We start from the raw sequence: 16965 nt of genomic DNA on the forward strand, positions 1-16965 counted from the left end.
TCAATATCTAAGCAAGTTTTCACCTTCTATTGAATGCCAAGTTGTAAGTGCAGAGATATTTCATAATTGCTTCTTACCTCCAAGAGTTTCAGTCAACAGCTAAAATGACTCTTTTTGAAATAATGTATGCTGCTTTGAATCTACTCCTCAAAATTTACACCCCATCTAAAATGCTTTCCCAATTTTCCCATTTATCTAAGGCCTTGCTCATAACTGAATCCTTTGAAAAATATTACCATTTTCAAAATGTTTGCATACACTTAACCTTCAAGATGCCTGCACCAGGCACTCAGCATGAATGAAGTCAAAGCAAGTCCTGTGCTGCGTTCCCCCAAAAAAGCCTATTCTGTCCAGTGTCACAACTGGAAGCACATCAATCACTCCAAGGACCTCCCAGAAAGAACATCATTTCATCAGTAACTATGAGGAGATGATATATGTTTAGCCTACAAGGAAACAGATGCAAAAAAATTTCAGTGAATGTTTATATAATCTTTTGATGAGGAAGGCCTATTTTTTTTTATAAATAATACAAAAGCAAAGACAGAAACAATAAGGAAAACAGTCACAACTTTTATACCTAAAAGTGTAAAATCTCTAGATGCCAAACTTCAATTAACAAAATTACAAACAAATGAAAAGTCCAAATGAAATACTTGCACTATGCATGAAAAACAAAACATTTATTTTCTAGAATATTTGATTATTTTAACAATCAGTAAGTAAAAAAGATAACTCCCATGAGAAAAAAAATGAAGCCAGGGCATAATTGCCAACTCATTAAAAATATGTAAATATATAACATTTATATTAATATAAAAGATATAACAGAAAACATATTCATAATATTCAATCTCTCTAGAATTCAAGAAACATGTATCAAAAAAATGAGAAACCAGTTTTGTCATTGGAAAAGTTGTATTTATTTTTTATTACATTTTGATAAAAGCCCATTTTTGGTGAGGGTCTGACAAATCAGATGCTCTGAAACATGGGTGGAAGCGATGTCAATCATGCAACTTTTCTAAATATTGACAAAACTCAATATTTACCAGGATGCTTAAAGATTTCAAACACTTCGGCCGGGCGCAGTGGCTCACGCCTGTAATCCCAGCACTTTGGGAGGCCAAGGCAGAAGGACCACCTGAGGTCAGGAGTTTGAGACCCACCTGGCCAACATGATGAAACCCTGTCTCTACTAAAAATACAAAAATTAGCCGGGCGTGGTGGTGCGCACCTGTAACCCCAGCTATTCAGGAGGCTGAGGCAGGAGAATCGCTTGAACCAGGCAGCAGAGGTTGCAGTGAGTGAGCTGAGATCATGCCAGTGCACTCCAGCCGGGGCAACAGAGGGAAGCTACATCTCAAAAACAAACAAACCAACAAAAAAAGATTTCAAACACTTCAACCTAATTATTCCATACCTGGAAATCTAAGGAAATAATCAGGAATGAGCAAAATTTGGAATACATGAATATTTGTTGTAACATGATTAGTAACTATGAACCAATGATCTTAAATGTTCAAGAACAAAAGGGAGAAATAAATTGAGTTTATTCCACATTTGATAGAAAACTATACAGCCACTAATACAAATGCGATTTTGAAAAACATTTATTGACCTTGAAAAATGTTTATGCCATTGTTAAGAGAAAAAGCAGAATGAAAGCATTGCAGATAATAATGATTTCATCAGGAATATGTGTTAAAATTACCTGTGTATTTATATTTATTAAAAGTTCTGGGCCGGGAGCGGTGGCTCACTCCTGTAATCCCAGCACTTTGGGAGGCTGAGGCGGGCAGATCACGAGGTCAGGAGATCGAGACCATCCTGGCTAACATGGTGAAACCCCGTCTCTACTAAAAATACAAAAAATTAGCCGGGCGCAGCGGCAGGCGCCTGTAGTCCCAGCTACTCGGGAGGCTGAGGCGGGAGAATGACGTGAACCCGGGAGGCGGAGGTTGCAGTGAGCCGAGATCGCGCCACTGCAGTCCGGCCTGGGCGAAAGAGCGAGACTCTGTCTCAAAAAAAAAAAAAAAAAAAAAGTTCTGCTCACTGATATTTTAGATATACCCCCTACTGAGAACCAACAATATGCCATATGATCCCAATTCTACTGCGTACAAAACATTGAAACAAAATCCAGAAAACACTCATTGTGTTTTGCCCTACATTAGTACATTTATCATTTGAAAAAAGAGGGCACCTTTTTTTTTTTTTTTGAGACGGAGTCTTGCTCTGTCGCCCAGGCTGGAGTGCAGTGGCACGATCTCGGCTCACTGCAAGCTCTGCCTCTCAGGTTCACGCCATTCTCCTGCCTCAGCCTCCCGAGTAGCTGGGACTACAGCTACCACCCCCGGCTAATTTTTTGTATTTCAGTAGAGACGGGGTTTCACCATGTTAGCCAGGATGGTCTCGATCTCCTGACCTCGTGATCCGCCCGCCTCGGCCTCCCAAAGGGCTGGGATTACAGGTGTGAGCCACCACGCCCGGCCGGCAATTTTTAAAAGTACAAAATGAAGCCTTTAATCTGGCATAAGATATGCCATTAATATTGTTTTTCTTTATTTTAGATTCCATTTCTTTCTTTCCATTTTATTTTTATAGAGATGAGGTCTTACTATGTTGCCTAGGCTGGTCTCAAACTTATGGCTTAAAGTAATCCTCCCACTACAACCTCTCCAAATGCTGGAATTATAGGCCTGAACCACTGCTCCTGGCCTAGATTTCCTTTCTTAAATCAAATTTTCCTTTGATAGCTTTTCTCATACCCAAGCAGAGAGCCACTTCGGTAGCACATTGAGATTACACAATTGCTTGCATCTTTTATTGATGCTTTTCATCATTTTTCAAATTGACAAAAATTTCCCAAGAGACAACCAAAAGTTAAACTCAATGTTCACATAATGTTCATTCAATGTTTATGAAAATGTAATGTTTTCTTTACTAATTTAAACATATCTGTCAGATAATAAACACTGACTTTTTAAACTTAAGGACTATGTTTTGCTGAAAAAGCTTTTTTTTGAACAGGAAAAGGCAGTTAACAAATTGATACATTCTCCTCTTCCTACTTCTAACTCATGAAGCTAAAAACAGTTCATTGTATCATAGATCACTTTCTACTCTGAAAACATGGACAGAGCTCACCTCCTAGAGTGGCAAAAATCAAACACACTTGCTAACAACATAAAGAGCCATATTTATTAAGAGCTCCTGATAGGTTACAATAAATCAAGTTAAAATCAGTTAAAAATAACATGTGTTCCCTTTCTGCTAGGATCCAACTCATCATTTAGGACGTGGTTGGAATAGGAATTGCTCAGTAGAGACTAATGCTAACTCCTTTGTGCTCCTCCTTTCCCTCTTCATACTTTCTGCTTTCTCTTTCCCATCTGCACTGATACTGCATTGCCTGTTTTGTCTCTTAATTGAGCCTGAGATCTCAGGGTGCAAGGTCACAGATCTCTTTCACAGCACAGTCCACAGCTGGTGCCAAGACAGCATGTGACTGAGATGTCTAACCTTAACCGACACTATGAGCTACAACACTTACAAACCCCAAAGTTACTGAGATTTTAAACGTGCTCAGCTCTCGTCACATATGTTTAATGCACTAAAGAGCACATTCTTGAGATTGTTCAAATCAACATCGGCCAGCCTGCTAAATACTTACCTGTGCACTTCTGGATCAAGCTCTGTGGGCATAGCAGGTCATTTAAACTTGGGTAGAAATGTGTTTTGTCTTCGATAACCTTCCCGCTGTGCCTAACCAGTGCCTGCTGTCCCCATGAATCTCCTCCTCTGTGCAATGTGCATGAAGCCTGTGCTCTTCCTCACAGCCCTCTCCCTGCAGTCCCAGCACCAAGGCCGGCTTCCCGGGCAGGCCACCTCCTCTGCACACCGCTCCCTGTTCCCTGCTGGGTTTAAGTAGGAATGGAGCCTTCCCAGTGTTGAAATAAACCTGTGTCTGCAAAAGAAAACAAAAACAAGACAGAATTCATTTGTAATTTGGTATTTGTCTGACTTTTCCTATGAACTATTAGGATGCTTTTCTTATATTTCTCTGCAAACATGTTCCGTTTTCCACCCATGATTACGAGTTGCATAGATGATCTACTTCCCTTTCGAGATTGTGACATCTTTGAATGTAGAATCCGTTTCCGTGTATCTGGTACTCCCTGCCGGAGTACTTGCTGCACTGTGGCCATCAATGGGTGTTTGTTCAACATTTAATAATGGTGCAATTTAACAAAATTCCATTAAATTTGTTTCTGTCTACATGGAAATGTAATTTTATCTTATTAGAACCATTTCACTTTTAAATGCCCTAAAATAGCACTCTTGGAATGAGGAAATGAATATAAACTAAGAAGACACCTGTGGGGACCTTTGTCCCAATCCCCATCAGTTACTCTTCCAGCCACCTGGCGAGGATACAGGCTCAAAGGCAGGTGTTAGGCTGAGGTCGCCCAGTCACCAGCTCTAGGGCTCTCGGATGCCCCGCTCTCACCACTACCACGCGCAAGAGCAGAGCGAGAGCTCCTTAACGCCAGTTTATTTAGCATTTTGATCTTTTCATTTTCTGATTTCTTATAATTTATAAATTTGAAGAATGTCTTCTTCCGCACTGGTGGGGGGGGTGTAACTAAAGCCTGGAGGCTGCTGTCGCGACGCCTTTGCGGCTAGAGCTTCTTTTACTATCCTGAGTCAGAGCCTCCCGAAGCCACGGAGGAACGCCCACGGGGCCGGGGGGTGGGGTGGGGACACTGCGCATTCAGGTCTCACCATCTGGGGACCCAGTATGCTGTGGTGCCCTTGCTGAAGCAAGGCTAATTGTCCTCATGTGACCGAGAGAGACTTCTCACGGCCATGCACAAAGACAGAGACCGTGTCAACAAGCATCCCAAGGTAGGACGAGGCAGAGTGTTTCGGATTCTCTTTTAGAATTTGGTGGCAACTGCTGGAGAGGCTGGTCTAATTTGTAACAAGTTAAACAAAGAGCCTTAGGAAGACAAACAGAAGAAAGAACCTTGGATTTATTATAGAATCCAAGGCCTGGCTTTTTGAGCCAGGCTTAGCTTTATTAGCATACAGCATAATGCTTGGCACCGAGGAGACACTTAATAAATATTTATGCACAAATGAATGAGTTTTCAGCATGTCACTTAACCCTTTGTACACTCAGTCTCCAAGTCTACAAAATAAGATGATTCAACTGGATAGTTATCATGATTGTAAAAATGTCTTGATTTAGAGATACCTACTTTTCCCTCATTCTCTACTTTCACATGTGACTAAAGCAAATTATAACCAAACCTCATTAATTTAGAATTACACTAGTAAGCCTCATCTAATTCATTAAAATCTGAATTACAAAATATATTAAGAGAAATACAACATTACTTTTTAAAAATTCAATAAATAGGATGAAGATGTAAGTGAATAAGATTAATTAGATAAAATGATTTGTACACTTATGTTCCAGATTGATAAATCCAAACTTTAAAATGTCCTAACAATAAAATATAGTTCTGAGTTTCAGGGTAGCTCCTTTGTGCTTCTTTCTTTCTTTCTTTCTTTCTTTCTTCTTCCTTCCTTCCTTCATTCCTTCCTTCCTTTTTCTTTCTTTTTATTTTTGATGTTTACTTTTGTTTTTCCAACTAGAAACTAAACCTCTGAAGTCAGGGAATATGTAGTATAGAGCTTGTGAGATAGCTTTTGAAAATGGACAGAAGTATTTCAGAAACTTCTACTCAACAGTTGCTATGGACTGAACTGTGCACTCCCACCCTGCAAATTCCCAGGGGAAGCCCCACCCCTCAGCATGGAGCAGGGGCCTGTAAGGAGGTCGTTAAGGTTAGACGGGGTCATAAGGGTGGGTCCCTGAGCCAATAGGATTGCTGTCCGTATAAGAGGAGCCACCAGAGAGCTTGCTGTCTCGGCACACAAGCATAGAGGGACAGGGGCTGCTGGGCAAGTCTGGAAGCCTCAAAATGCAATCTGCCTGCTGCCCCCTGGATCTCGGACTTCCGGCCTCCAGAACTGTGAGGAATCAATGTATGTGGTTTAAGCTGAAACTACCCAGTCCACAGACAGCAACCCAGGCAGAATAATACAATAGCAATGTCAACACCACACAAAACTCTCCTGTCTCCTTGTAGATGAAGCAGCTCCAACCCACAGGCTCCAGTCTCACTCAAGGCTCACCAGAGATGCAAGCCTCACCCTCCCCATCCACCCCTGCATGCCACCATCCACCCCCATGCCCCCATCCACCCCTGCACACTATCCACTATCTACCTCTGCACTAAACCAGCCACCCTTACACCACCCCCCACCCCTACCCCCACCCCCATCATCCATCCCCACAATACACCATCCATTCCTGCCATTCACCCTTGCATGCCACCATCACCACCGCACTCAGCCATCCACCCCTGCACTCAACCATCCACCCTTACCCCTCACCGTCCACCCCATACCCCGTCATCCACCCCTGCACTCAACCATCCACCCCTGCTCCCCACCATCCACCCCACCCCTCACCATCCACCCCATCCTCAGCCACCCAATACTACCCCTCACCATCCTCCCCAACCCCACCATCCAATCCTACCCCTCATCATCCATCTCCCCACCATCCACCCATACCCCTCACCATCCACCCATACCCCTCACCATCCACCCATACCCCTCACCATCCACCCCATCTCAATCACCCAATACTACCCCTCACCATCCTCCCCTACCCCCCACCATCCTCCCCTACCCCCCATAATCCACACCTACCCCTCACCATCTGCCCCTACCCCCCACCACCCACCCTACTCTCTCTTACTCAGGACATCCACCCCGCTTCAGGCATCTGCCCAAAGCCCATGCATCCACCAACCTGCCTGAGAGAGCAAAGGACCCTCCACCTAAATTCTTATCTGCTCTTCAAGGGTTTCCATCCATTCCACTCACCCTCCGAGTTATCGCCATTGCAGTGGGTGAGACATTTCACTTGAGGGAATGAAGGGTTTTTTTGGTCCCCTCTCCCTTAAAAAAATTTCAGGGAGTTGAACGATGAAAAGCTGCCCTTCCCTTAAGACACACACACATTGGCCCAGCATAGTGTGCTAGGCAGTACCCTAGCATGCAGCAGGCAAATACAGGGCACCTGGGTCCACCTGAACTTCAATCAACCACAGATAATTTCTTAACTTATACTAGATTGAGATAACACTATATACAACCCTACTCTACTACCATGTATTAGATTATGCCAAAAAATAATCCATGGTCATTGTAAATGCACACTTACCTGGCACACTGTATTTTACTTGCTCTATCTGGCAACTCCTTCCATAAGGGAAGTCTGAAGTGAGCAGTCGAGCTGGGAGAGCAGAGTCATGCGGGGCAGGGGAATGATGGGGTCCCACAGCCGTGCCCATCAGCCCGTTGACCACATCTGCATGGCACAGGGAGAAGGAGGGGAGGACAGGTGGGTCCCGGCACGGCCACCCCTTCATCAGCCCATCAACCACAGCCTTCACGGCACTCATCCCATGAGCTGTCACCCAGCACCCACCAGGAACTGAACAAGAAGGACATGGCTGTGTCCTCAGGGAACTTAGGGAGGACAGTTATCTCCCCCACAACACAGTTCAATCAAATGTACCACGGGGCAGGTGTTAGTCTAATATTAACCAGTGCTGGGAACACTGCGTGATCTTAGTTCCTTCTTGAAAAGTTTGTTTTCAAAAAGCTGAAGGAAAATACATCACAGTGATACAGAAGTTGAACCAGCTCTGGCCCTGAGCACCAGGGCACCAAGCAGGTGATGGGGCGGCCCCAGTACAGGCAACAGCACGTGGGGTCTGGGGGCAGCCGGGGATCCAAGCTTAGCCTGGGCAGCATGTGAGGTGAGTGGCCAGCAGCACACCCCAGCGTCACCTGGAGCCTTGGTAAGTGAAGCTGCCAGAAAAAGCATGGATTAAGCAAGAGTTTATTTTGCCTGGGGTCATCATTTTAGCAACATAAACTTACGTCATTAATTTGCATTGGCATCTGACCATTTTGTGAAATGTGGAGTTTCTGAGGGCGGCAAGGCACCTAGAGTCCAGCAGCTTCCTGTGCTGCCCACTCTGGCAGAGACCCCAGGCAGAGAAGAAGGCGGCAGAGAGGTAGACTAGCTGATGAAATTTCTGATTTTGTAACTCAAGCCTTCTTTCTCATTAATTTTTTTCACTTCTCCCTTTTTATGGAAATAGAACATACATACAGAAAGTACACTTAAAGTATCAGCTTGATGAATTTTCACAGCCTGCACTCAGCCTCATCAGCAGAGCCAGATGAACAACCTGAACACACAGCAGCCCTGAACCCTCTGCGGGCCACTCCCAGGCACCAAGCTCTGGCACCCTCACTTCTGAAGGCAGAGAGTGATGTGCCTGTGTTTTTGCACTTTATACGAATATATTTTGTCTTACATCTTAATTGCATATGTTATTTATCCCCAAGTTCCCTGAGGACAGAACCATGTCCTTCTTGTTCCTTCCTGATCAGTTCCTGGCGGGTGCGGGGTGGCGGCTCTTGGGATGAGTGCACGCTTGGTAGTGAAGGGGTGGCTGCGCCTGGACCAATCCGCTCTCTCTCTCAACCTCCCTGTGCTTGACAGGCTGCGGGCATGGCTGTGGGACACCATCAATGATTACTCTCCCTTTAACCCTTTCAGAATCAGCAACACAAGCAGTGCTTTAAACCCAAAAGGTCCCTTAGCACCAGGTCATAGAGATTTTGCAAAAGCCGTGGGATACGGAGCTGGTACAAGTGGAGTCTCTCTTATTCGAAATGCCTGGTACCAGAAGTGTTTTGAGTGTTTTATTGTTTCGTATTTTGGAATATTTGCGTATACATAATGAGACATCTTGGAGATGCTACCCAAGTTGAAACACAAAATAAATTCATGCTTTATATACACATAGCCTGAGGTAATTTTATACAATATTTTTAATAGTTTGTAAATGTAATGAAATTTTGGTTACATTGTGACTGCAACCTGTCACATGAGGTGATATGGTTTGGCTGTGTCCCCACCCAAATCTCAACTTGAATTGTATCTCCCAGAATTCCCACATGTTGTGGGAGGGACCAAGGGGGAGGTGATTGAATCACGGGGGCCGGTCTTTCCTGTGCTGTTCTCCTAATAGTGAATAAGTCTCATGAGATTTGATGGCTTTATCAGGGGTTTCTGCTTTTGCTTCTTCCTCATTTTCCTCTTGCTGCCACCATGTAAGAAGTGCCTTTTGCCTCCCGCCATGATTCTGAGGCCTCCCCGGCCATGTGGAACTGTAAGTCCAACTAAACCTCTGTTTCTTCCCAGTTTTGGGTATGTTTTTATCAGCAGCATGGAAACAGATTAATACATGAGGTCAGGTGTGGAATGTTTCACTTGTGGCATGAGGTTAGTGCTCTAAACATTGTAGATGTCAGGGCATTTGGGATTCCAGGTTTTTGAATTAGGGAGGGTCAGCCCGTATGGCAAAAAGCCAGGTGCAGCAGCCTCCAGTCTGCAGGCCTGAATATTGGGCTGCTAATGCAGGAGAAGGCAAGATTGATCTGATGTCAAATATTGAAGCTGAAATGTGTCAGTGCCCATGTGGATCAATGTTTCATGTGAGGACAATGCTGACATTTTTCTAACCAGCTGGATCATTTTAAACCATTGTGCTGAAAAAAAGACAATCAAAGAATTATGATTTTTTTTAAAAATCTCCCTAGCCTGTAAAGTTTAACACTGAAACACAGTCCTTAAGAATATCTTCTTCTAAGTGTGGTGTACAAAGTCCATTTCTGCAGTGGTTTGAGGCTGATGTGCTTCTACAAGATGGTGTTGTGGTCTGGCCTAGCTATGCAGATCCTTTTGTTTCTGTTTCTGGAAATATGTCAGGCATGTTGCCCTGTTGGTGTAATTTCCTTTAATTCATCCTCGGTCACCGTTTTCCAGGGCCTCTGGGCATGGGCGTTGATAACCTACGCCTGGTAACACCAACGTCTGTGAGCCCAGCCTGACAATGATTCTACCACCTGTCGATGGAGCAGGTTTCAGTGTAAACAAGCGTGTGAATAACTGCTGAAATATTGACGCTTTATTGCCTCCACGGAGGCCACAGTTTCCTTTATTTTATGATGGTACTTGAAATAATGTTTGATAAGAACCTGCCCAAAAGTCCTCCTCACATGGAGCATCTTAGAGTTTCAAAAGAAAATTGTTGAGGTTTCTGTTCAAATTCCAGAAGATCCAACTAGAGCCTGGGAGTCATCATCATGCTTCTGGTGGATTTTCTCCTGCTCACATCACAGAGTGTGATTCTGAGACCCCTCTAGCTGTCCCAGTCCCCTATGCCCAAATTAATTCATTCACTTCAGTGCTTCGAAAACTGTCTTTAATTCTCACAAGCCCCAAGTTGATGCATTCTTCTGAAATCCTTGCTTGATGACACTAAGTATCCATTCCCTGCCATTCTCTGTCACCACACGCTTTATATTTTTTCATTGCACATAGTAAAATATGTAATTTTATATTTGCTTTTCATTTTACTTTCCATCTCCTTCACCAATATGGAAGCTCCAGGAAGGGAGAGGCGATGGACTTTCTTCCCCTGTTGTTTTGCTACCATCACGCACACAACGCCTGAATTATAGTCGCTGCTCAATAAACATCTGTTAATGAATAGATGGTAGTGGCACAGGGGCCCGGCGCAGGTGAAAACCTCCCTGTATTCCTCTTTAGCTCAGCACTCAGGGCACATTCCTTCCTGTGCACAGTGGAAGGTAACTCTGCTGAGCCCTCTGTCACCGTAGCCTCTGCAGAGGTCCGGGCACACGGCCACCTCAGAGCCCTCCTGCAAGCGTAGCAGCCTCGCACGCCACCTGGAGAATGTGCACATGTGTGGGACTGGCCCTGGTTCCCACCACACTGGGAGGTGGCCTTTGCAGAGAGTTGTCATATAACAGCCCTGCCAAGGGGAGGGTGGGACGTCTTGGTTTCACATGGATAAGGTTCTTTAAGGCAGGCTCCCTACAACACTTAGCAAATAAATAGTGTTTATTCGTGTGCTCATCCAAACATTTGTTGCCCAATGCAAATTCACTAGAATCATAGTGTCAAACAGCTGGATGATCGCTCATCATCACACACAGGCTTGAGGAGTCCCAGAGCTAACGTCAGCAAGATGATGGATGGACAGATGAGAGATAGATAAATAGATAATAGGTTAATAGAGACAGATAGATGGTAGATAATGATGATAATGAACTTAGGTATAGATAGACAGTAGATGTGGATAGGTAGGTAGTTAGTAGGTAGATAGATAACAGGTTAATAGAGATAGATAATAGATAGATAGATAATTAATAGATAGAGATAGATGAGAGATAGAGATGACCCTGGCTTTATCATTTATTAATATCATTTCGACAAGGCAGAGACCCCAGCCCATGGAGAAGCTGTTGGTGGTGTGGCTGAGGTATGCAAATGTTTATGCACACGTGTGTTTTTGAGGGGGAAGAGAGGAAGGAAATGGGGGAGAGGAAAGAAGAAAAACAATGGGACAAAGCACCCAGGGCCGCCATTCACGGGTCCATGTGTTAAATAGGTGGTTATTTGAATAGTTGCTGCTGAAAGCTTCTGCTACCTTCCCCAGGTCAGGAATGAAACACACAGGCCCTGGTGGTGGCTCTGGTTTTTTCTGGAATTGTTCTACTGGAAACTGCTCTCTGTGAATTGACGGCTAATGAGACAAGCATCCGGAGCGAATGAGGGGCAGTGCCCTCCTCCCGCGTCCCCCTCGTGGGCTCCTCCCAGGCCGAGGAAGCTCGCTGCCCAGGCTTGGACAGACCCCCGAACAAAGGGAGCCGACAGCTCCACAACACTCAGCCCATGGGGACTGCAGCAGGTGAGTCTCCACCCAGCCTCCCTCCTTTGGACCAACACGAACTCCGGAGACGTCTGGGTGCAGCTGCCTCAGGCCCTGCTGTCTTCAACGGGGACTGAGGTTGCAGTTTAGCTGGCTTTCCTGTTCCTGCTTCCCCGGGTCCCCCTCAAAGAAGCCGCCTGCACCCCGTGCCACCTCACTCTGGCATAGCCCTACTTCTCCAAACCACCAGGCCTGCCCTCCCTTGTCCACGCAGATCTGACAATCTCCACAGTGCTGTGCAGACTTCAGCTCCAAGAAGTTGCAAGTGATGGAGATAAAATCCCTTCCTGAGAGAGTCATGAACCGTGGCCTGTTTGAGGTCAAAAGAAGAAATGAGAACAAAGCCAAGCCAAGGCTTCGGAGTGAGCCCTGAGACACCTCTCAGCTGGCCGGGTGGCCAGAGATCCACCCTGCAGGAGCCGCCCCGAGGCAGGTGGGCCACATCTCCCAACAAGCGGCACACAAGAAGGCCCCTCGCAAGAGGAGGCATCTGTGGTCTTCCCAGAGCAAAGGCAGCAGCCCCGGGAGCCCAGCCAGTCACTGGCCACCTGCACGCCTCTACACAGCAGACCTGGCCAGGCGGGCAGTGCCCCTGGCCCCTTGCGAATAGAACGTTGTGGAACAGGCGGAACCTGGGCAGCTGTCCTGCACTCTGGCCAGCCAGTCCGTGGATGCTCCTGCCAGGCAGGACTGAGCCACTGCCAGTCTGGCCGGTGCCAGCCTTTTCTCAGATCCAGCCACGCCCTCTCTGGATACGGTCTGGACACCGGCAGACCAAGCAGGCAGTTGCCTCCCTGGCTGGCTCTGACCTCCTGCAGCACAAGGAGAGGATGCACTGCACTGCCAGGCCTCTGGGCACCGAGGGCCGCTGCTCCGCCGTTTCTTTCTGCTACCGCTAATTCAAAACAGGGCAGGGAGCAGCTAGGCAGCAGCTGGGAGAGCTGCGGGCTCCTCCACCCGGTTGCTGGTGGGCTCCATCCGGCCGCACCGCCCGCACCTGCTCACCTCCAGCTGCCTCGGCCCCAGCGGCACGGACGGACTCAACGGCGACCACCGCGGCAGCTCCCCGGGGACTCCTCGCAGGTCAGCTGAGCTTTGCTTTCAGTCGGCGTGCACGGTTCCCAAACGTCGGTGGTGATTTTTGTAAGTGAGGTGGGGGTCACCACAGGAAGAGAGGGGAGGCAAACCTCCCTTCCCGCTGTGTCCCGCCTTTCCTCCTGGCGGTTGCGTTTCCACGTGTCCTGCCTGCTGCCCGCCCCAGCCCACACTGAGCAGGAAGGTGGGGCGTGGCGGGGAGGGGAGTGGAACTGAGGGAAGCAGAGAGGGTGGTGCCATTGCCCCCGGCCTAGCTTCTGTTTGATCATTAGTTTCAATTCAAGAAAACGTTCTTTTGAGGGAATTTTAAAAATGAATCACGTGCACCTCTTAAGAAAACCGAGTGTCACAATCGTTGTTACCACGCAGGTGAGAGGAGAGGAGGGAGGACGGGAAAGGGAAGGGGCATGAGAAAGGCGGATGGGACTGAGCTTCTACGGCTCCCTGGCCGCGGCGCACGCGCTGGCCCTCCCCGTCCACAGCAGCAGCGGCATCCTCCCCACCCTACAGCGAGGAGGTGGACGTTGCCCCGAGGGGAGGAGCGTGTCAGGGTGGCTTCCAGGTGCAGGTTCTCGCGCAGGCCTCAGCCTTCATAGGTGCATTCCGCTCTAGAACATTCCTGTTCATGCGTGGTCGTCGCTCACTGGTGGCCGCTTAGGTGCACTTCTCAATGGCAGTGCCCAGCACGGAGCAATGCCTCGGAGTGGCAGTTTCTTCAGTACGGTCCCCACGGCCTCTCCCAAGGCGGAGGATGCTGCCGCCAAGGAAACTGGCTCACCACGGACGCTGGTGAGCTATGGAGCTATCAGTGAGGTGTGGATTTCTCAGGCCTCTGGCGGGAGCCGGAGTAAAGGCCCTGAGTGTCTAGACCAGCCAGAGTGTCTGCGTGTAGGTCAGCAAATGTGGGCAAATGTCTAGGCGGTGGTGTCCTGCAGGGAGCCGAAGGCCCGTGGGGGACGTGACCAACTCAGCATTCCGCTGGAGGCTACAAACAGCAAACTGTTTATCATGAATGCAGGATGTGGGCAAACTCACACTGCCCTGCCACCAAAAGGTTTGCTAACAGACATCACTCCCTAGCTCCGGGCTCCTTAAAGTTATCTGCCTAAAAAATCTAGTGCCTATTGTCCAAAAAATGCAAGACTACTGTGAACCAAACGGCAGACTGACAATCACCCCCCTCCCCCAGCTTTCTCGCTATCTCTTTTTGCCTAATAAATACGGAGGGCTGTGTAAAGCTCAGGGCCCTTGTCCACTAAAGGCAAGGTGCCCCTAACCCCTTCTTCCAAATATACTCTGTTGTCTCTTGTCTTTTATTCCCGTGTTGCCCGCCTTTGTTCAGTCCAGTAGGTCCCCAACAATGTCCTGAGGGTATGAATCCTGAAAGACTACTCTCCATGAAGCAGGTATTTACCAGGTTAGTGCATGTTTCCTGGGTATTAAGGGAAAACAGTAAAATGTTCTGTACGGGGGTCCCGGTTCTGTGTCGCACGAGAAGAGTGTGTGTCTTTTTACTTTTTTAATATGGCTCAATAAAATTTTAAATCACATATGTGACTCTCATTGTATTTCTATTACACAATATGCTTTTTACCATGTCAAAATATCGGGTGGTTTCAATCAAATTGGTTAGTTAGCACCGTGTTCAAGAAAAACTCTTCTTTTAGGAAGGTACTAAAAGGTTCGTTGGTTGGGTTTTTTTAATGGAATTATATAACGTGTTATCACTAATTTGGATGCAGAATAGGAGTCTGGGGGTTGGCTGTAATGGCCTCTGAGGTCTTCTAAGCCTTATAGCTCTGTGATATTAAACTTGGTAAAAAGATGCCAAGAGATTCCTAGATGACAAGCCAGAAAGTATTCGCAGCCCATAAAGTAGAGACAACTCAGCCGCTGTGAAGAGATAAACATCTCCACCGCCACGTTCGTAGTCTCCTCCTCAAGGCCTCAGTTTTGGGTCTGGTGATCTGGCTCTAGTCCCCCACTCCAGGTGGGAGCTTCGCAGGCATGGGCTAGTTACTCGAGTTCCGGGTGCCTGCGTGACCCATTTGTAACATGGAAATAGCAAAAGTCCCTCCCCAATGCTATCAAAGGGTAGTGACGCGAGACAGGAGAAGTGTGAAGACGCTTTATAAAACTCAGAGTGCTAAATACTGGGGCTTTTCCCCCTCTACGTAGAAAGTTATAGAAGAAGGTGGCATTGACTAAGAAACAAATAATCACATTAATGAATAAGGCAGGAAAGATTTCTGAGATTAAATAACATTTTCATAGATTGATTTTTTAATTCCATATTTATCATCAAAGTCAAGCAGAACCCAAAACTGATCCTTGCGGTTCCGAAAGCGGCCTTCTGTGGCATGGAGTTGCTGAGCGGAGTCTAGTTCTGCGTGTGTATCCTGCTGGGTTGCACCTGTTTAATCTTTGCCTTTCTTTTGCCCAAAGAGTCAGCGTGTGAATTTGTTTATGAGGAGAACGACTCAAATTAATAACGAGGTGTTTTTGGTTTTTTTTTTTTTAATCTTTGGAATGTGCCACATCAAGTTCTGCTCCATTTCCTGGTGATTCAGATTCTAATGACGACCTTCACTCTCCCAGAATGTCCTCCTGTGACTGGCAGCAGGCCCTCTTCGCCATCCACAGGAGCGGGCGCTGCTCCAGGCACACAGCCAAGGGGGATCAACCCTGGGGAGGGGGCCGCAGTGCACCTCCGCCTGGCGTCTTTCTCCCCTCATGGGTCCACACTCCCTGACACCATCTGGCTTCCCTCCTGACAGCCCAATGCAGCAGACAGATGGCAGCGTTTACAGTTTCCACAGTGATGAGCAAGCCAGGGGCCTCCAGCCAGTGCAGTGTGACCCAGGCGCGCCCTCAGAGCCTGGCGTGGCCGGACTCTGGCTTCTCGGTTGCCCCTGGGTTGTCCCCGGACTGACATCTCTGGGTCTCTTCCTCTGCTTCATTTGGGAATCCTTTGTTGTTCAGTGACCAGGGAAATTGAGAAAATAAGCAGTGTGCTGACGTCATGGAAACAGTATATAGCAACTAAAATACACCAGCTTTCCTGTTTTTCCAGGCTCATATTCTACCAGATCAACCAATCCATGGCTTTGAGTATCAGCTGCCCACAGCGCGCTTAGCACCATGCGAGGGGCCACGAGGAAGGAGGGAGGCAGGTGTGGTCACCATCCTTTAAAAATTCAGATGTGAGACCAGGAAACACACCTAGCAGAAACAATAGGAGTAAAACTGTAGAAAGGAAAACAATGCCAGCATGAAGTTTTCAAGAAAAGCCTCCTTAGAAGAGAGAGGACTCTCGTCTTTCCCCCCTCACTGGGAGTGCCTAATGCCTAGTGTCAGGGCAGGGCTCTGAGCTGTAATTATCTTTCCTTACACCTACTAGTCCACAGAGGAAAATTAAAAGGCAAAACTGTTACGATCAACCGGGCGCGGTGGCTCATGCCTGTAATCCCAGCACTTTGGGAGGCCGAGACGGGTGGATCACTTGAGGTCAGGAGTTCAAGACTAACCTGGCCAACAGGGTAAAACCCCGTCTCTACTAAAAATACAAAAATTAGCCGAATGTGATGGTGCATGCCTGTAACCCCAGCTACTCAGGAGGCTGAGGCATGAGAATTGTTTGAGCCTGGGAGGTGGAGGTTGCAGTGAGCCAAGATCGTACCACTGCACTCCAGCCTGGGTGACAGAGAGAGACTCTGTCTCAAAAAAACAAAAACAAAAACCCTGTTAATATTGGGCCCATTCGCCACAAGAACAGTTAAATTATTTAGCAACAAACCAAAGCAACTTTAAAGTTATTTCAGTTGGCAAGAACGCTAGCAACCTGGGTTGCCAGAATTCGTTCACCTGGGTTCACAGGTGCAAACTATGAGCCATTCTAGTTCAT

General features: G+C 47.0%; 2 long non-coding RNA genes across 2 annotated transcripts, besides 1 other annotated feature; one reads left to right on the forward strand and one right to left on the reverse strand.

Annotated features, from left to right (window-relative positions):
* Nucleotides 1-899: 899 nt before the first annotated feature.
* LINC01558 (long intergenic non-protein coding RNA 1558) lies at nt 900-13222 on the reverse strand. The gene is made up of 4 exons (NR_026773.1): nt 12972-13222; nt 7310-7456; nt 3677-3970; nt 900-1859 (listed from the first exon to the last, which is right to left on the reverse strand). It is a non-coding gene; the product is annotated as a long intergenic non-protein coding RNA 1558 (long non-coding RNA).
* Nucleotides 11892-14611, forward strand: LOC441179 (uncharacterized). Its single transcript, NR_149041.1, has one exon. It is a non-coding gene; the product is annotated as an uncharacterized LOC441179 (long non-coding RNA).
* Nucleotides 15321-15854: an enhancer, noted in NCBI's record as "H3K4me1 hESC enhancer chr6:168199638-168200171 (GRCh37/hg19 assembly coordinates)". NCBI's record gives its function as "activates a minimal SCP1, AML or CMV promoter by ChIP-STARR-seq in primed H9 embryonic stem cells {active_cell/tissue: H9 hESC(primed)}" and the evidence as "EXISTENCE:reporter gene assay evidence [ECO:0000049][PMID:30033119]".

This window comes from Homo sapiens, chromosome 6 (assembly GCF_000001405.40).
Source record: "Homo sapiens chromosome 6, GRCh38.p14 Primary Assembly".
Lineage (NCBI taxonomy): Eukaryota > Metazoa > Chordata > Mammalia > Primates > Hominidae > Homo > Homo sapiens.